This window comes from Homo sapiens, chromosome 1, assembly GCF_000001405.40.
Source record: "Homo sapiens chromosome 1, GRCh38.p14 Primary Assembly".
NCBI classification, from domain to species: Eukaryota; Metazoa; Chordata; class Mammalia; order Primates; family Hominidae; genus Homo; species Homo sapiens.
Window position 1 is genome coordinate 153,003,857 of NC_000001.11, and position 20,733 is coordinate 153,024,589.

The window sequence follows — 20,733 nt, forward strand, 5'->3', positions numbered from 1 at the left end:
GTCTTGGCTGTGTGTGTCATTGGCAGAATCTTCCTCCTTCCTTGTTTCCCCATTGTGAGTCAGGACCTATAGACAGAGAGGAGTTGATGTAGAAGTCATCTATTTAACCCCAGTACTGTTTGTTTCTATGGGTGTATGGGGTTACAGTTGAGGTGTTCCTGGAATGGCAATGGGCCTGGTGTGATGTTGAATAGAAGTTGTCACTTTGGGCAGCCACAGGCTCTCCTCTTGCACTGGACTGAGTCATGCCTGACTCCAAGCCACCTGTTCCAAGACACCTCTGATCCTCAGTATCCTGACAACAAATCTCCTGTTTGTTCCAAGAAAACTTTACTCCTACATATTTTGACTGGACAGTCTATTTTTCTTCATTTGTTTTACCTTCTAGATACCCCACCACACACATACACACACACACACACGCACACACACACACAGAGTCATTCACAAAGAGAAACATTCATTTTAAATAGCCACACAGTCACATAATCATTCACACAAGCTCTACCCTCTCTAGCTCAATGTTATTTTTTCTAAGTAACTCTTATGTGCAGAGATCCCTAAAGATGGACCAGCAAGAGAGAGAGAGGAGGATACGCAGCACCTCCCTTGTAGAATTTGCAGTCTTGTTTACGAGTTAGGATATTCATGCCCTTCTAATACAAATGAGTACACAACCATACACACAAACACACACACACACACTCCCAGTGGTGTTCCAAAATAACCCTCAGAAATCTATTAAGTGATTTTTATTTTATTATTATTATTATTATTATTATACTTTAAGTTTTAGGGTACATGTGCACAATGTGCAGGTTAGTTACATATGTATACATGTGCCATGCTGGTGCGCTGCACCCACTAACTCATCATCTAGCATTAGGTATATCTCCCAATGCTGTCCCTCCCCCCTCCCCCCACCCCACAACAGTCCCCAGAGTGTGATGTTCCCCTTCCTGTGTCCATGTGTTCTCATTGTTCAATTCCCACCTATGAGTGAGAATATGCGGTGTTTGGTTTTTTGTTCTTGCGATAGTTTACTGAGAATGATGATTTCCAATTTCATCCATGTCCCTACAAAGGACATGAACTCATCATTTTTTATGGCTGCATAGGATTCCATGGTGTATATGTGCCACATTTTCTTAATCCAGTCTATCATTGTTGGACATTTGGGCTGGTTCCAAGTCTTTGCTATTGTGAATAATGCCGCAATAAATATACGTGTGCATGTGTCTTTGTAGCAGCATGATTTATAGTCCTTTGGGTATATACCCAGTAATGGGATGGCTGGGTCAAATGGTATTTCTAGTTCTAGATCCCTGAGGAATCGCCACACCGACTTCCACAATGGTTGAACTAGTTTACAGTCCCACCAACAGTGTAAAAGTGTTCCTATTTCTCCACATCCTCTCCAGCACCTGTTGTTTCCTGACTTTTTAATGATTGCCATTCTAACTGGTGTGAAATGGTATCTCATTGTGGTTTTGATTTGCATTTCTCTGATGGCCAGTGATGGTGAACATTTTTTCATGTGTTTTTTGGCTACATAAATGTCTTCTTTTGAGAAGTGTCTGTTCATGTCCTTTGCCCACTTTTTGATGGGGTTATTTGTTTTTTTCTTGTAAATTTGTTTGAGTTCATTGTAGATTCTGGATATTAGCCCTTTGTCAGATGAGTAGGTTGCGAAAATTTTCTCCCATTTTGTAGGTCGCCTGTTCACTCTGATGGTAGTTTCTTTTGCTGTGCAGAAGCTCTTTAGTTTAATCAGATCCCATTTGTCAATTTTGTCTTTTGTTGCCGTTGCTTTTGGTGTTTTAGACATGAAGTCCTTGACCATGCCTATGTCCTGAATGGTAATGCCTAGGTTTTCTTCTAGGGTTTTTATGGCTTTAGGTCTAACGTTTAAGTCTTTAATCCATCTTGAATTGATTTTTGTATAAGGTGTAAGGAGGGGATCCAGTTTCAGCTGTCTACATATGGCTAGCCAGTTTTCCCAGCACCATTTATTAAATAAGGAATCCTTTCCCCATTGCTTGTTTTTCGCAGGTTTGTCAAAGATTGGATAGTTGTAGATATGTGGCATTATTTCTGAGGGCTCTGTTCTGTTCCATTGATCTATATCTCTGTTTTGGTACCAGTACCATGCTGTTTTGGTTACTGTAGCCTTGTAGTGTAGTTTGAAGTCAGGTAGTGTGATGCCTCCAGCTTTGTTCTTTTGGCTCAGGATTGACTTGGTGATGCAGGCTCTTTTTTGGTTCCATATGAACTTTAAATTAATTTTTTCCAATTCTGTGAAGAAAGTCTTTGGTAGCTTTATGGGGATGACATTGAATCGGTAAATTACATTGGGCAGTATGGCCATTTTCACGATATTGATTCTTCCTACCCATGAGCATGGAATGTTCTTCCATTTGTTTGTATCTGTATCCTCTTTTATTTCCTTGAGCAGTGGTTTGTAGTTCTCCTTGAAGAGGTCCTTCACATCCCTTGTAACTTGGATTCCTAGGTATTTTATTCTCTTTGAAGCAATTGTGAATGGGAGTTCACTCATGATTTGGCTCTCTGTTTGTCTGTTGCTGGTGTATAAGAATGCTTGTGATTTTTGTACATTGATTTTGTATCCTGAGACTTTGCTGAAGTTGCTTATCAGCTTAAGGAAATTTTGGGCTGAAACAATGGGGTTTTCTGGATATACAATCATGTCGTCTGCAAACAGGGACAATTTGACTTCCTCTTTTCCTAATTGAATACCCTTTATTTCCTTCTCCTGCCTAATCGCCCTGGCCAGAACTTCCAACACTATGTTGAACAGGAGTGGTGAGAGAGGGCATCCCTGTCTTCTGCCAGTTTTCAAACGGAATGCTTCCAGTTTTTGCCCATTCAGTATGATATTGACTGTGGGTTTGTCATAGATAGCTCTTATTATTTTGAGATATGTCCCATCAATACCTAATTTATTGAGAGTTTTTGGCATGAAGGGTTGTTGAATTTTGTCAAAGGCCTTTTCTGCATCTATTGAGATAATCATGTGGTTTTTGTCTTTGGTTCTGTTTATATGCTGGATTACATTTATTGATTTGCGTATATTGAACCAGCCTTGCATCCCAGGGATGAAGCCCACTTGATCATGGTGGATAAGCTTTTTGATGTGCTGCTGGATTCGGTTTGCCGGTATTTTACTGAGGATTTTTGCATCAATGTTCCTCAAGGATATTGGTCTAAAATTCTCTTTTTTGGTTGTGTCTCTGCCCGGCTTTGGTATCAGGATGATGCTGGCCTCATAAAATGAGTTAGGGAGGATTTCCTCTTTTTCTATTGATTGGAATAGTTTCAGAAGGAATGGTACCAGTTCTTCCTTGTACCTCTGGTAGAATTCGGCTGTGAATCCATCTGGTCCTGGACTCTTTTTTGTTGGTAAGGTATTGATTATTGCCACAATTTCAGCTCCTGTTATTGGTCTATTCAGAGATTCAACTTCTTCCTGGTTTAGTCTTGGGAGGGTGTATGTGTCGAGGAATTTATCCATTTCTTATAGATTTTCTAGTTTATTTGCGTAGAGGTGTTTGTAGCATTCTCTGATGGTAGTTTGTATTTCTGTTGGATCAGTGGTGATATCCCCTTTATCATTTTTTATTGCGTCTATTTGATTCTTTCTCTTTTTTTCTTTGTTAGTCTTGCTAGCGGTCTATCAATTTTGTTGATCCTTTCAAAAAACCAGCTCCTGGATTCATTAATTTTTTGAAGGGTTTTTTGTGTCTCTATTTCCTTCAGTTCTGCTCTGATTTTAGTTATTTCTTGCCTTCTGCTAGCTTTTGAATGTGTTTGCTCTTGCTTTTCTAGTTCTTTTAATTGTTATGTTAGGGTGTCAATTTTGGATCTTTCCTGCTTTCTCTTGTGGGCACTTAGTGCTATAAATTTCCCTCTACACACTGCTTTGAATGTGTCCCAGAGATTCTGATATGTTGTGTCTTTGTTCTCGTTGGTTTCAAAGAACATCTTTATTTCTGCCTTCATTTCGTTATGTACCCAGTAGTCATTCAGGAGCAGGTTATTCAGTTTCCATGTAGTTGAGCAGTTTTGAGTGAGATTCTTAATCCTGAGTTCCAGTTTGATTGCACTGTGGTCTGAGAGATTGTTATAATTTCTGTTCTTTTACATTTGCTGAGGAGAGCTTTACTTCCAAGTATGTGATCAATTTTGGAATAGGTGTGGTGCTGAAAAAAATGTATATTCTGTTGATTTGGGGTGGAGAGTTCTGTAGATGTCTATTAGGTCTGCTTGGTGCACAGCTGAGTTCAATTCCTGGGTATCCTTGTTGACTTTCTGTCTCATTGATCTGTCTAATGTTGACAGTGGGGCAAATTGGATAAAGAGTCAAGACCCATCAGTGTGCTGTATTCAGGAAACCCATCTCACGGGCAGAGACACACATAGGCTCAAAATAGAAGGATGGAGGAAGATCTACCAAGCAAATGGAAAACAAAAAAAGGCAGGGGTTGCAATCCTAGTCTCTGATAAAATAGACTTTAAACCAACAAAGATCAAAAGAGACAAAGAAGGCCATTACTTAATGGTAAGGGGATCAATTCAACAAGAAGAGCTAACTATCCTAAATATATATGCACCCAATACAGGAGCACCCAGATTCATAAAGCAAGTCCTGAGTGACCTACAAAGAGACTTAGACTCCCACACATTAATAATGGGAGACTTATTAAGTGATTTTTAAAACAGATCAGTTTAAAAGAGATTGCAAGGAGAAGGAGTGCTTGATCCAATTTAGGTGAATTATTAGCAACAAATTTGTTAGAAAGCAGGTCATTAAGCTACAGAATGTCAGGCAGGAGTAAAAAGGGAGTTAAACAGTACATAATAGAGTTCCTGCATTTCAAGATAAAAAACTGATTTCCGGAAAGGCAGAGAAAAGTAATTAAGATCAATCAAAAATTATTTCAGAATCACACCTGGAGTCCAGTTCCCTAGGTTCCCAGCCAGCCCTCTACTCTTTCTCCTGCAGCCTAGTCTTGTTTTCAGGAGTGACTGAGAAAGTTTGTGGTCTCTGTTGAGCTGGTCTGGAATACTAGGGAGCTGTTTCCAGAAGCAGTGAAGCCAACATAAAATTTCAGAAGGGTCATTGCAGTCACTGAGGGGTGAACCCTATTTTTCAAGAAGGTGGGTGGGCCATAATATCAAACAGGTGTGAGGTAGGTGATAGGTAGCACCTGCACAGTATAGCATTGGCAAGAACTCAGAGACACCTGGAAACAGTAGACTGTAGAAATTGTCCAACAAGGTAATGAGTAGTTGCCAAACTGGCAGGAGAGAGTAAAGTCACTCAGGTCTGCTAGATATGTATGTGTTAAAATGGCTTCATATTATTGCTGATTTCAGTGATGGAAAAGTCTAGAGACAACTCCAGGACTAACTACAATTAAATAGGCTGATCCAGAATGGAGAAATGTGTTCTATAGTATGCAGCTATTATGCATATAAAGTAGCTCAAACATTTTAAAGGGGAGTTTGGACAGGAAGCACAAAAAGATTTAAAGATCTGCCTGACCTTTGAGCCATGAATTCTATTCTAGAAATTCATTAAGAATTATTCATGCATGTACACAAAGATTTATACATCAAGATATTCATTTCAGCATTGTATCTAATAGTAAAAAGCTGGTAAGAACCTAAATGCATACTAGTGAATAACGGCATCCATAATTGATGGAGTGTCCATGTATTAAAATTACACAGCAGCTATTAAAGGAAATATTACAGAAGAATTATTAATCATATTGAAAAATGATCAGGTTATATTTAAAAAGCAAGCCCCAAACAATATAAGCAAAAAAGAATCTTGTGAATAATACATGCATGAAAGTCGATTTATATAAAAAAAATCCTGATACAAAATTCAGCAAAATATAACTGGTTATTTCTTCCTGTTCACATGATATTGTTCATTTGCTTTTTTGAATGGCTCTGTTTTTTCTTATTATATAATATGTAAAGTTATTTCATTTTTAAAACATTTTATCACGATATTAAAAATACAGAAGTCAGTGAAGATGCTGCTGAGCTAAGGAAAAATGTGTGTCCTGCTTATCCAGAACATTCCTCAGGCTCTACACAGATCCCAGATGAACAGTAAAATGGTGGGGGCCTCCCTTCCATGTTGAAGTAGGGTCCATGGAGATAAATGCTTCAACGTGCCTGGTAGAAGGCTGATGCCAAGGAACCCTAAACCTTTAGAGTAAATGGAGAGGACAGAACTACTCTCCTATCTTCTCACCCTTCCTCCCTTTAGTCATTCTTGCCTCTCTACAAAGGTTAGTTGGAATGCTTTACCGAAAAGTGCTTTGTAAGCACAGACTCCATAAAATCAACCTTAGCTTCTTAAAAACTGTCTGGTCACAACTGGGTCTATGTGTCATTTTCAAATATGACATTTCAGTCAAAGCCTTGGTTATAGAACCAAGATTTTCAGTTATATCCAGTTACAAGAAGGATAAATTCCTATTGGACATATGCAAATAATTATGTCGTCATGAAAATAAGAATCCTCAATGAGTGCCAAATTCTAGAGGGATTAGGCAAGGAGAAAACGATAAATGTTCTATTTCTGTTTATAAAAGTATAATCTAATTATTGTTGCAAGTTATGGATACTGTAAAAGAGAAAGAAGTGTCTTATAATCCATTCAGAAAATAGAACATAAAAGAATCAACAATGTTTCAAGTAAAAATCCATAAATATTATAATTGCACTTCATCAGTTCATCTGGTACCTGTAATTAATTTTTGTTCTGGTTGATCTTGGGTTAGCAGTTTTATCAACCAATCAGTTTCTCCAATATAGTTCTGGAAATCCTTACTCAGTCTAGTGGGATGGTCTTAAAGTCATTTAAGCAATGCAATCAGAAGCCTGCACTCTAGTGTATCTGTTATAGATTTTTTTCCATGTGTCCCTGAGACTTTTCCTTTTTATTTAAGATTAAGCATTTTGGCTTGTAACTTATTAAAAACGTTTTCATACGGGAATCAGAGTAAAACAAAAACTATCTGTGCATGACAAGACTTAAAACGGCTATGGTTAAAGATATGATAATGTGTCCAGAATTTAGTCCTTCCGGTGGGTTCTTGGACTTGCTGACTTCAAGAATGAAGCCGCGGACCCTCACAGTGAGTGTTACAGTCCTTAAAGATGGTGTGTCTGGAGTTTGTTCCTTCAGATGTTCAGATGTGTCCGGAGTTTCTTCCTTCTGGTGGGTTCGTGGTCTCACTGACTTCAGGAGTGAAGCTGCAGGCCTTCACGGTGAGTGTTACAGCTGTTAAAGGTGGCATGCCCAGAGTTGTTTGTTTGTTCCTCCCAGTAGGTTTGTGGTCTCGCTGACTTCAGGAATGAAGCTGCAGACCCCCGCAGTGTTACAGCTCATAAAGGTAGTGCAGACCCAAACAGTGAGCAGGAGCTAAATTTATTGTGAAGAGCAAAAAGACAAAGCCTCCACAGCAAAAGCCTCCACAGCATGGAAGGGGACCCAAGCTGGTTGCCTCTGCTGCCTCGGGTGGCCAGCTTTTATTCCCTTATTTTTCCCCGCCCACATTCTGCTGATTGGTCCATTTTACAGAGCACTGATTGGTCCATTTTACAGAGTGCTGATTGGTCCGTCTTTGCAGAGTGCTGATTGGTGCGTTTACAAACTTTAGCTAGACACAGAGTGCTGACTGGTGCGTTTTTACAGAGTGCTGATTGGTGCACTTACAAACCTTTAGCTAGATGCAGAGAGCTGATTGGTGCGTTTTTACAGAGTGCTGATTGGTGCATTTACAATCCTCTAGCTAGACAGAAAAGTTCTCCAAGTACCCACTCTACCCAGGAAGTCCAGCTGGCTTCACCTGTCAATAAGAGTTTATTATTAAGTAATTGACAAGGAAATTTGGTTGTCTCTGTCATAGATATTTAAAACAACAACCAGATTTATGACTAAAATTATCCCAAGGCATATCCTGAGCAGTGGAGGTATTGACAAATTCCTATGAATGTCAAACAATTTCTGAAATAGTCATGTTAATAATATTTATCCATGCAAATATCACATAGAGAAGGTTAAGCATCTCTTCTCATTTGACAACACATTTAATGCAATTTAACTATCAAAAACCATTACTTTGTTTAAAATTTCTCTTTTTACAAGGTGAAAGAAAAAAATCTTTCATGATTTTCCAGGGTTCCTCTGGGAAATATTAAGGTCAATTTGAGATCAAGATTTCATTTCAGGTCTTATTTTGGGAAGGCAAAACTGCCAAAAATGTTAAAAGGTTTGAACACTTGACTAAATAAGATTATTGATCACTATGAAACCATACTTGCCTACCTAGTTAACCAAAGTGACTATAAAAAACTACAAAAGTAACTATAGGAAGGTACCTTATTGTAAAATACCTTAGTTTTTTTTTCAAAGAGAGAAGACTTGGTTGTTTTAAATAGTCAGGACATGGAAAAGGTCAACATAAAGCATAGGACATCATTCTGATAAGACACAGAACCTTTGTTTCCCAGGCAGTTACACAGAAGGTAAACTAAACAAAACCTTTTATAGTCTCTTATTTTTTTTTCTTTTTTTCCCTCTGCATTCCTCTAGTCAATCTTGGCTGCCACAATCACAGACAAAAAGCATGAGGACATTTTTCTTCTTGCATCTGTGGTGGAAACTTTAGCAGCAGACAATACCTGCTCCAGGCATGTCAGATAGATGCATTTCAATCTTGTAAGGAGCAGGACATCCAACCATGGGGTTACAACTCCTGGCTGACTGACCACTGTGCGACTATAAACATTGATAATCAAATGAAGGAAGGTCCTTGGTTATAATAGACACAATATGGCAGCAGGGTGCTTAAGATGCCACCGTGTGCTGTGGACAAATGTATATCACCCTTTTTGTTGTAGATGGAAAGTTATTGAACAGAATCTAAAATTACAACCAGTTTCTGTTGGGGTTAAAGAAGTAGGCATTCCATGGTGGATCCAAATTATCCTGGAGAATGCCCCACCCAAAAACAAGGGAGACTCTGAGAGGCCTTATGGAATACTTAGACTAAATCACATCTGGATGTGACCACCACTCCTTTAACCCCAATGTAGGCGTCCAACATTTTGGGTACAAAACGTGGCTAACTGCTCTCAGGCCATTAGTACACAATGGCAACAATAAGCATGGTGGATTAAACAATATTGGCCCACCTGACAGAAAAGGGCTTTAGGGAACATAGGTGCTGATATAAGCATTGTGGGACAATCTAAATTCCTCACCCTTTCTTAAACAGTTTTATGAAGCTATAATTCACATACCGTACAATTCACCAATTTGAAGTATACGATTAAATTAACTTTAGTGTATTCACAAATATGTGTAACCATCACAACAGTGAATTTCAGCACAATTTCATCACTGAAAAAAGAAAATGCCACCTTCAGCTATCATCCTCCTATTTTTTTACCCTCTCCCCCAACCCTAAGCAACCACTAATCTACTTTCTGTCTCTGTAGATTTTCCTACCCTGGACATTTCAAATGAATGACATTATATAATACATGGTCTTTTGTGACTGCTTTCTTTCACTTAGAATAAAGTTTTCAAGGCTCATTTGTGTTCTGGTATTAATCAGTTCTTCATGTCTTTTTAAAAATATTTTGTTGTAATAAAATATACATAACATTTATCATTTTAACCATTTTAAATATATAGTTCAGTGATATTAATTACACTCGTATTGCTATGTAATCATCACCACCATCCATCTCCATAACTCTTTTCATCTTGTAAAACTGAAATGTTATACCCATAAAAATAACAACCCATTTTCTCCTTTCCCCAGGCCCTGGCAACCACTACTCTATTTTATGTCTCCAGGATTTTGACTATTCTATGTACCTCATGTAAGTGGAATAATAGAGTATTTATCTTTTAATGACAAGCTTATTTCACTTAGAATAATATCCTCAAGATTCATCTATGTCATAGCATATGTAAGAATTTCCTTCCTTTTTAAGGCCAAATGATATTCCACCATAGGTATATGCCACATTTGTCTTATTCATACTTCCATTAATGAACACCTGCGTTGCTTCCGCATTTAAGCTATTATGAATAATACTGCTATGAACATGGGTATATAAATATCTCTTCATGTCCCTGCTTTCAATTCATTGAAGTATATACCCAGATATGGAATTTATAGTTCATATTGTAACTCTAGTTTTAATTTTTTAAGAAAAGGTCATACTGTTTTCCAGAGCAGCTGTACCATTTTAAACTACTACCAACAGTGCACAAAGGTTCCAAATTCTCCACGTCCTCACCAACACTTTCTATTTTCTGGCATTTTGATGGTAGCCATCCTAATGGATATGAGGTGGTATCTCATTGTAGTTTTGATTTACATTTCTCTAATGGTTAGTGATGTTCAGTATCTTTTCATGTTCTTATTGGCCATGGTATACCTTGGCCAATGTTTTCTGAACTTATTTAAATAAATGCTTAGGCAAGTTATTTACCTAGTTTTCCTATTTTTTTAATTGGGACATTTGGTTTTGTTGGTTGTTGAGTTTCAGGACTTCTCTATGCCTTTTGGATATTAATCCCATACGATATATATGACTTGCAAATATATTTTCCCATTCAGTGAGTTCCCTTTTTCAGTGTTGAAGACATTCTTTTAGTATACATTACTTTTTAATTTACTAAGTCCAATTTATCTATTATTTGTTGTTGTCTCTACCTTTGGTGTCATATCCAAAAAAATCATTGCTAAATTCAGTGTTGTAAAGTTTTTACCCTATGTTTTCTTTGAAGAGCTTTATAGTTTCAGGTCTTACATTTAGGTCATGAATCCACCTTGAGTTTAATTTTTATATGCGGTCTTAGGCAAGAGTCCAACCTTATTCTTTTGCATGTGGATATCCAGTTTTCCCAGCACCATTTGTTGAAAAGGCTGTCCTTTCAAAAATAACTGTATCATGTATTTGATAGTTTATTTCTGGGCTCTCAGTTGTATTCTACTGGTTTAAATGTCTGTATTCATGCCAATACCACACTTTTGATTATTAGAGATTCATAGTAAGTTTTGAAATTAACAGGTGTGACTCTTTCTGCTTTGCTCTTATTTTTCAAGATTCTTTTGGCTATTCAGGATCCCTTGAGATTCCAGATGGATTTTAGGATGGGTTTTCATATTTCTACAATAAACATCATTGGGATTTTGATAGAGATTACACTGAATCTGTAGATCGCTTTGGGTAGCATTGACATCTTAACAATGTTAAGTCTTCCAGGTCATGAACACAGATGTCTTTCCATTTATTTTATGTCTTCTTTAATTTATTTCAACAATGTTTTATAGTTTATTGTAAAGTCTATAACTACCTCTGTTAATTCCTAAGTATGTTATTCTTTTTCATTCCATTATAAATAAAATTTTTTCTTAATTTTCTTTCAGATTTTTTATTATTAGTACATAGAGACATAATTGATTTCTGTGCATTGACCTTGTATCCTGCTATAATGTGTTATTAGTTCTAACAACTTTTTATAGAATCTTCCGGTCATATCATCTATTAATAGAGATAATTTTACTTCTTTTCCAATTTGGATACCTTTTGTTTTTTCTCCTGTCTAATTACTCTGGCTAAAATGTCCAGGACTACATTGAGTAGAAGTGGCAAAAGAAGACATCCTTGCCTTTTCTTCATCTTAAGGAAAAAGCTTTCAGTCTTTCACCATTGAGTGTGATGTTGGCTGTGGTTTTTTCACATGACTTTTAGAATGTTGAAAGTTTTCTTCTATTCTTAGTTTGTTGGGTGTTTTTATAATAAAAGAATGTCAAATTTTGTCCAATGCTTTCTTTGCATCAGTTGAGATGATTATGTGATGCTTTTCTTTGTTATTTTAATGTGATATATTATAATGGTCAATTTTCATATGTTGAACCATTCTTGCATTCAGGAATAAATCCCACTTGGTCATGGCATATAGTCCTTTTAATATACTGCTGAATTCAACTTGTTAACATTTGTTAAAGATATTTGCATCAATGTTCTTAAGAGATATTGGTCTGTAGTTTTCTTTTCTGTCAGTGTCTATATCTGCGCTTGGCGTCGAGATAATGGTGACTTCATAAAATGAGTTAGAAAGTGTTCCCTCCTCTTTAATTTTTTGAAAAGTTTGAAATAGATCGCTGTGAATTCTTCCTAAAGTTTTTGATAGAATTCCCCAGTGAAGCATCAAGTCCAGGACTTTTCTTTATGGGGATATTTTCAATTACTGATTCAATATTTTTACTAGTTATAGATCTATTTGGATTTCCTGTTTCTTTGTGATTTGGTCTCAGTAGGTTTTGTATTTCTAGGAATTTATCCATTTCATCTAGGTTACCCAATTTGTGGGTGTACAATTGTTCATAACACTCCCTTATAATCCTTTCATTTATGGAGAATAACTATAAGGTCCCCATTTTCATTTCTCATTTTAGTGGTTTGAGTCTCTTATCTTTTTTCCTATTCCATTTAACTAAAAGTTTGTCAATGTTGTTAATCTTTTCAAATAACTATTGTTTTTATTGATTTTCTTTATCGTTTATCTCTGTTTTGCTTATCTCTGCTCTAATCGTTATTATTTCTTTCCTTCTGCTAGCTCTGTGTTTAGTTTGTTCCTTTTCTAGTATCTTAAGTTGTAAAGTTAGGCTGTTGATTTGAGATCTTACTTGTTTTTATAAGGTAAGCATTTATAGCTATAAATTTCCCCCATGGCACTGCTTTCATGCTTTAGGTTTTGGTATGTTGTGTTTTTGTTTTCATTCATCTCTAAATATTTTCTAATTTACATTGTTATTTCTTCTTTGATCCACTGTTTGTTTAAAATTGTGTTACTTTCCATAAATTGATGAATTTTCCAGTTTTTCTTGTTATTGACATCTAACTTCATTCTGCTTATTGAAAAAGATACCTTGTGTGATATATATTTTTTAAATCTACTGAGACTTAATTTTTGCCCTAACATATATTTTATCCTAGGAAATGTCCCACATACACCTGAGAAGAATGTGCATTCTGTTGTTGGATAGAGTGTTCTGTGTATATCTGTTAGATCTAGTTGGTTTACTGTGTTGTTCAAGTCCTCTATTTCCTTACTTATCTTCTGTCTGCTAGCTCTATTCATATTGAGAGTGATATGCTGAAGTCTCTGGCTATTGTTGTAGAATTGTCTATTTCTCCCATCAATTCTGTCAATTTTTGCTTTGTATATTTGATGGTGTGATATTAGGTGCATAAAGGTTTGTAATTGTTGTATCTTCTAGCTGTATTAAACCTTCGTGTATATATATATACATATACACTTATATACGTGTATATATATACACGTATATACGTATATATGTATATATATATGTAACCTCTTTTTCTCATAAGTTTTTTCATTTAAAGTCTGTTTTATCTGATAGCAATATAACTGCTTCTGTTCTCTTTTAGTTACTATTTGCATAAAATATCATTTTCATTCTTTCACTTTCAACCAATTTGTATAATTGAATCTAAAGAGAATTTTTTCTAGATAGTATATAATTGGATCATGTTTTTTAAGTCATTTTGCCCATCTCTGTCTTTTGATTGGAGAATTTAATGCACAGACATTTATTTTATTTATTTTTATTTTATTTTATTATTATTATACTTTAAGTTTTAGGGTACATGTGCACAACGTGCAGGTTTGTTACCTATGTATACATGTGCCATGTTGGTGTGCTGCACCCATTAACTCGTCATTTAGCATTAGGCATATCTCCTAATGCTATCCCTCCCCCCTCCCCCAACCACACAACAGTCGCCGGTATGTGATGTTCCCCTTCCTGTGTCCATGTGTTCTCATTGTTCAATTCCCACCTATGAGTGAGAACACGCGGTGTTTGGTTTTTTGTCCTTGTGATAGTTTGCTGAGAATGATGGTTTCCAGTTTCATCCATGTCCCTACAAAGGACATGAACTCATCATTTTTTATGGCTGCATACTATTCCATGGTGTATATGATGCACAGACATTTAAAGCAATTACTGGAGAGGAGGGGCCAAAATGGCCAAATAGGAATAGCTCCAGTCTGCAACTCCCAGCAAGACAAACACAAAAAGTGAGTGATTTCTGCATTTCCAACTGAGGTACCCAGTGCATCTCATTGGGACTGACTAGGTGTCTGGCATGATCCGCAGAGAGCAAGGAAAAGCAGGCTGGGGTGATGGTTCACCTAGGAGGTACATGGGACAAAGGGACCACCCTCCCCCAGTCAAGGGAAGTGGTGAGGGACTGTTACCCACCGGGGGTACCATGCTTTTCCCACAGATTTCTGTAGTCCAAGAATCAGGAGATCCCCCTCATGAGCCTACACCATCAGGGCCTTGGGTCTCAAGCACAAAACTGGGCAGACCCACAGCAGCTACTCCCATTGGTGGCTGTTTGGGCAGGCACTGAGCTGCAGGAGTTTTTACCTACACCGGCGGCACCTGGAACTCCAGTGAGGCAGGAGAACCATCCACTCCCATGGAAAGGGGGCTGAAACCAGGGAACCAAATAGCCTCACTCAGCAGGTCCCACTCCCAAGGAACCCTGCAAGCTAAGACCCACTGGCTTGAAATCCCCGCCAGCCAGCACAGCATCCTAGAGTCTGCCTAAGACGACTGAATTCCTGGGAGGAGGGGTGGCTGCCATTACTGTAGCTCTAGTTGGCAGTTTTCCCCGTCAGTACTAGGGAAACTGGGAGGTTTGGACTGGGCAATACTCCCCACAGCACAGCACAGCAGCAATGGCAGATCATGGCCAGACTGCTTCTTTAGGTGGAACCTGGATCCATCCCCCTTCACCAGACAGGGCCTCCCTGCAGGAATTCCAGCAACTCCAGCCAGGGGCTTATAGACAGAATTCTCATCTCTCTGGAACAGAGCACATGGGGGAAATGGCAGCCATGGCCTCAGGTTCAGCAGACTTAATCTTTCCTACCTGCTAGCTCTGAAGAGTCCGACTGATCTGGACAAGAGGGATTCTCCCAGCACAGCACACCAGCTCTGCTAAGGGACAGTTAGTCTGCTTCCTTAAGCAGGTCCCTGATCCCATGCCTCATGACTGGGTGAGACTTCACAAGAGGGGTTGCCAGACATCTCATACAGGAGAGTTCCAGCTGGCATCAGGTCAGTGCCCCTCTGGGACGAAGCTTCCAGAGGAAGAAGTAGGCTGCCATCTTTGCTGTTCTGCAGCCTCCACTGGTGATACTCAGGCAAACAGGGTCTGGAGTGGACTCCCAGCAAACTGTAGCAGACCTGCAGAATAGGAACCTGGCTGTTAGATGAAAAACAAACAAACAGAAAGCAAGAACAACATCAACAAACAAGAGCCCAAAAAACCCCATCCAATGGTCAACAGCCTCAAACATCAAAGGCAGATAAATCCACAAAGATGAGGGAAAAGCAATGCAAAAAGCCTGAAAATTCCAAAAGCCAGAATGTCTCTTCTATTCCAAATGATCGCAACACCTCTCCATCAAGGGCACAGAATGGGGCTGAAGCTGAGATGGATGAACTGACAGAAGTAGGATTCAGAAAGTGTGTACTAACAAGCTTCACTGAGCTAAAGGATTATGTTCTAAACCAATGCAAAGAAGCTAAGAACCATAATAAAAGATTACAGTAGCTGTTAACTAGAATAACCAGTTTAGAGTGCAAAATAAATTATCTGATGGAGCTTAAAAACACAGCACCAGAATTTCATGATGCAAACACAAGTATCAATAGCCGAATTGACCAAGCAGAAGAGAGAGTATCAGAGCTTGAAGACTACCTTGCTGAAATAAGGCAGGCAGACAAGATTAGAGAAAAAAGAATGAAAAGGAATGAATAAAACCTCCGAGAACTATGGGACATGTAAAAGACAGAACCTATGATTGATTGGAGTACCTGAAAGAGACTGGGAGAATGGAACCAAGTTGGAAAATGCACTTTAGGATATCATCCAGGAGAACCTCCCCAACCTAGCAAGAGAGGTCAACATTCAAATTCAGGAAATCCAGAGAACCCCAATAAGATACTCCACAAGAAGATCTGCCCCAAGACAGATAATCTTCAGATTCTCCAAGGTCAAAATGAAGGAAAAAATGTTAAGGGCAGTCAGAGAGAAAGGCCAGGTCTCCTACAAAGGGAAGCCCATCAGACTAACAGCAGACATCTCAGGAGAAACCCTACAAGCTGGAAGAGATTGGGGGCCAATATTCAATAGTCTTAAAGAAAATAATTTTCAGCCCAGAATTTCATATCCAGCCAAACTAAGCTTTATAAGCATAAGAGAAATAAAATCCTTTTCAAACAAGCAGATGCTGAGGGATTTCATCACTACCAGAACAGCCTTGCAAGAGCTCCTGAAGGAAGTACTAAACAGGGAAAGGAAAAACCATTACCAGCCACTACAAAAACACTGAAGTACATAGACCAATGACACTATGAAGCAACTACATTAACAAGTCCACAAAATTAACCAGCCAGCACATGATGACAGGATCAAATTCACACATAACAATATTAACCTTAAATGTAAATGGGCTAAATACCCCAATTAAAAGACACAGAATGGAAAGCTGGATAAAAAGGAAAAGGCATTAACTGACTTCTTAATAAATGTTGTTAAGGTTATAAAAGACTTCTGGAAGTCATATCTTATGGTCAAGATTAAAATTTTATAGATTGTAGAATTTTGAAAAACAAATTTAATTGACTTCTTGCTATTTTTATTAGGGCTTATTGTTTTGAAAATTAAGTATCCTTATTATGCTTCAAAAACTACAGTACACCTGTTGTTAGATTCCAGTCTTGCCTAATGTTTTTCAACTGTTATTATTTTCTACAGTTTGGACCAAATTCTAATTTTCTTGGCTACAAGTCTTCAAAATAATGTTTTCAATTCTTTTCCTTCTTTTTCCCCCCATTTTTCCTAATTGAGAGTCACTGAAAACTAAGCTGTGCTTTCTTAAAGCCCTACGAACTGAAGGTGGACAACTTAAACTTCGGAAGAAAATAATAGCAACCTATTTACATACATAAGCCACTTTCATACCTGCCTACTAATATATGGACTTCAGAGTAATGTGTCCTACATCGATTTTCTAGGGTTTTCCTTTTGTTTGTTTTTCTCCCTTCCTCCCCCTATTTTCTCTTCATACAACATGAGACTTCACAACCTGCTAAAATGGGCTTTCCTAATAACTCAGGACCTACCCATCTAGGAATAAACCATCCTAGCCATGAGAGATCAGATGAAACCTGGGAAAAGAGACTCAATTTCTTCTAAAATGCTTTCTCCAAAAGATTTTTTAAAAGAAAAGGGGGGAAGAATGGTAGGAAAATAAATCTCAGGGCCCCCAAATCACTAAGCTAAAGGGAAAAGTCAAGCTGGGAACTGCTCAGGGCAAACCTACCTCCCATTCTACTCAAAGTCACCCCTCTGCTCACTGAGATAAATGCATATCTGATTGCCCCCTTTGGAGAGACTAATCAGAAACTCAAAAGAATGCAACTATTTGTCTCTTATCTACCTGTGATCTGGAAGCCCCCTCTCTGCTTCCTGTTGTCCCACCTTTCCTGACCGAACCAATATTCATCTTACATGTGTTGATTGATGTCTTATGTATAAAACCAAGCTGCGCTCTGACCACCTTGGGCACATGTCGTCAGGACTTCCTGAGGCTGTGTCACGGGCATGCATCCTCAACCTTGGCAAAACAAACTTTCTAAATTAACTGAGACCTGTCTGGTTTCACAGCTGGAATGAAGGTAAAACAGCCCTCCCCAAATCCACTTCCTTATAGCAGGGCTCATTTTGCATATAAAAGCCCAGTTGGCCAGAGACTCCTAACCAGACCTGAGAGGCCAGGGAGCTCAATCTTCTGAAGTAAGAGTTCCAACCTGAAACTGTTTAATATTCACCTAATTGTATCTTATTTTGATTGGGGTCTCCTTGCAATGCTAAGGCTATGGTTATTTGAAATGGATTTGCAGTTTGTACTTAAGGGTACTGTAATGCCCAACCTTGTTTTTCCTTTTTCACCTAGCCTTGTTTCCACCTGAATAGACTCTCCCTTAGCTGAGAGAACCAGACAAACTCCATCTTGGCTCTTTCACTTGTAGCCCCTTCCTCAAGGACTTAACTTGTGCAAGCTGACTCCCAGCACATCCAAGAATGCAATTAACTGATAAGATACTGTGGCAAGCTATATCCACAGTCCCCAAGAATTCGTCTGATTGATAATGCCCAAAGCCCCGTGTCTACCCCCTTGTAATAGTCTTAAAGCCCCTGCACCTGGAACTGTTTACTTTCCTGTAACCATTTATCCTTTTAACTTTTTGACTACTTAAATTCTGTAAAATTGTTTTAACTAGACACCCCCTCCCCTTTCTAAACCAAGATATAAAAGTTAATCAAGCCCCTTCCTCGGGGCCGAGAGAATTTTGAGCATTAGCCGTCTCTCGGTCGCCGGCTAATAAAGGACTCTTAATTCGTCTCAAAGTGTGGCGTTTTTCTAACTCCCTCGGGTACAACAGTACTAAAGCAGTTCTTTTTGACTTCCCACTCAGATTACAGCTGTGGGACTGAGACTCAGAAAAGGGAAGTGACTTATTTTAGAGTGCTGTTCCCTGAGCAGGAGGAATGAACTAGACTCCATGCCCAGGGCACTTTTAGTGATATTTTAATCATCTGTATGATTTTTAGAATTGTCAGCATCAAAGGCACTGCATTAGACAATTTGGATGTTCAAAACTTAAATCTAGGTGCAGTGGCACATTCTGTAGTTCCACCAACATTGGAGGCTGAGGCTGGAGGATCACTTGAGCCCAGGAGTTTGAGGCCTGCCTAGGTGACATAGCAAGACCCCATTTCTTAAAAAGAAAAAAAAAAAGTTAAATTCTTCCTTGCTACACAAACCTATGATCTATCAGAGAACACAACACGTGCACAAACTTTGCAAACATACAGCATGGGGAGTATGAGATCAGTAAAGAGGACAAATCATGTACCATGCTGTGGCTAAATAAGGAAGATGAGTGTAAGGTTCTTGTATCAGTTCAAACTCCGAGAACATGCCAACAGACAACACGAGACAAAACATGCTGTTTTAATGAGCGCCTGGGTGCAGGGAAGCTGAGGCCTAAAATGGCGTCAGTCCCAAGTGAGGACGGGGCAAAGGTTTTACAGTCTCCTGTAAACAGGATGTGTCCTAGTCTGACGCAACTGCTATGTTGTACCTGGATGGCCTCTTTCAGGATCTTCAGGGGTACGTGTCTTCCAGCCGGGGTAGGTGTCCTTCAGCCAGCTCTCTTCCTGCTTCTGCTATCTTGCTGACGCATGCTGCTGATGCAAGTGGCCTTGCACCTTGGGACTGGGCCTGAGAAGGCAGGAGTTATTCATCTCCTTAAGCTTTCAGGCCCATGGGAGAATCTCACAAATGAGACCATCAGGGAGGACAACCAGGAGGGGTGGGCAGGTGTGGACAAGTAGTGTTGGCACGGAGAGCCTTCCAGAAAACATGTGCAGTGGGCAACGTGTGAAAACAGGGTCACAGTTGGATTGTATGGGCCTCAGGAGGAGGTTTAGATGGAGTTTTCCTATGAGAACTATGGCACTGTATAAGGTAGGCATGAGTGAGTAGACTTTAGACTATTGACCTTTCCAAATTATTGCAAATCTGGGGCCTCCCATCAGTCCTTGGAGGCTTGTTAGGTTCCCTCACTAGTGTATGCTCTTAGATATACCAAGAAAAATGGAAGCTAAGAGGACACAACTTATATGGAGCAGAACAAATCAACTTTTACTCTCTCCCTTTGAAACTGCTTGGGGATTATCAAAGTTTCCTTTGATATTACATTCAGAAAACAGGAAGAAAGAGAAGAGCCCAGGAGTTCAAGGTTCTCATTCCTCTGGGGACATGCAATAAGATGTTTGGCATTGACTTTGGCTTCATTCCTATTTAATCAAAGCACTGAATCTGCTTTTTTGTCTCTAGATCCAGCATCCTTTGAAGCATGAGTTCCCACAAGCAGAAGCAGCCCTTTACCTCACCCCCTCAGCTTCAACAGCAGCAGGTGAAACAGCACAGCCAGCCTCTCCCTTAGGAACCATTTGTTCCCATAACCAAGGAGCCATGCTACCCAAAACTTGGAACCTGGAACCTGGAAACACCAAGATTCCAGAGTTAGGCTGCACCAAGATCCCTGAGCCAGGCTGCACCAAGGTCCTTGAGTCAATCTCCACCAAGGTACCAGAGCCACATCCTTCAACAGTCACTTCCGGCCCAGCTCAGCAGAAGTCCAAGTAGAAGTAATGTGGTGCACAGACAAGCCCTTGAGAAGCTGACCACCAGATGCTGGACACACTCTTCCTATCTGCTTCTGTATCTTAATTGTCTGTAGACCTTGTAACCAATACATTGTCACCCCAAGTCATAGTCTTTCTCTTATTTGTATTCTAAAAATATGCACTATGAAGCTCCTTTTGCTTGCACACACTCTGAAGAATTCTGTAAACCCCTGAGTTAAGCAGAAAGTCTTCATGGTTTTTCTGGTCTTCAGCTGCTCAGGGTTCATCTGAACATTCGAATGAAAAAAAATGCATATATCCTGCTCTGCCCTCATTAAATCACTTTTAACTCCA

The 20,733-nt window shown here is 38.9% G+C and overlaps 1 long non-coding RNA gene and 1 other non-coding gene across 3 annotated transcripts, besides 1 other annotated feature; one reads left to right on the plus strand and one right to left on the minus strand.

Moving 5' to 3' along the window:
- Nucleotides 1-4,725: 4,725 nt before the first annotated feature.
- LOC105371446 (uncharacterized) lies at nucleotides 4,726-20,733 on the plus strand. Of its 2 annotated transcripts, XR_922151.2 has the most exons (3): nucleotides 4,726-7,314; nucleotides 9,879-9,939; nucleotides 20,087-20,733. It is a non-coding gene; the product is annotated as an uncharacterized LOC105371446 (long non-coding RNA). The 2 variants fall into 2 exon arrangements; XR_007067039.1 differs by lacking the exons at nucleotides 4,726-7,314; nucleotides 9,879-9,939 and adding an exon at nucleotides 18,930-19,714.
- On the minus strand, nucleotides 8,626-8,758 carry LOC124900435 (small nucleolar RNA SNORA31). The gene has a single exon (XR_007067391.1). It is a non-coding gene; the product is annotated as a small nucleolar RNA SNORA31 (small nucleolar RNA).
- Nucleotides 18,920-20,119: an enhancer, noted in NCBI's record as "MED14-independent group 3 enhancer chr1:152995252-152996451 (GRCh37/hg19 assembly coordinates)". NCBI's record gives its function as "activates an origin of replication core promoter dependent on BRD2, BRD4, P300/CBP and CDK7 cofactors, and independent of MED14, by STARR-seq in HCT116 cells {active_cell/tissue: HCT116}" and the evidence as "EXISTENCE:reporter gene assay evidence [ECO:0000049][PMID:35650434]".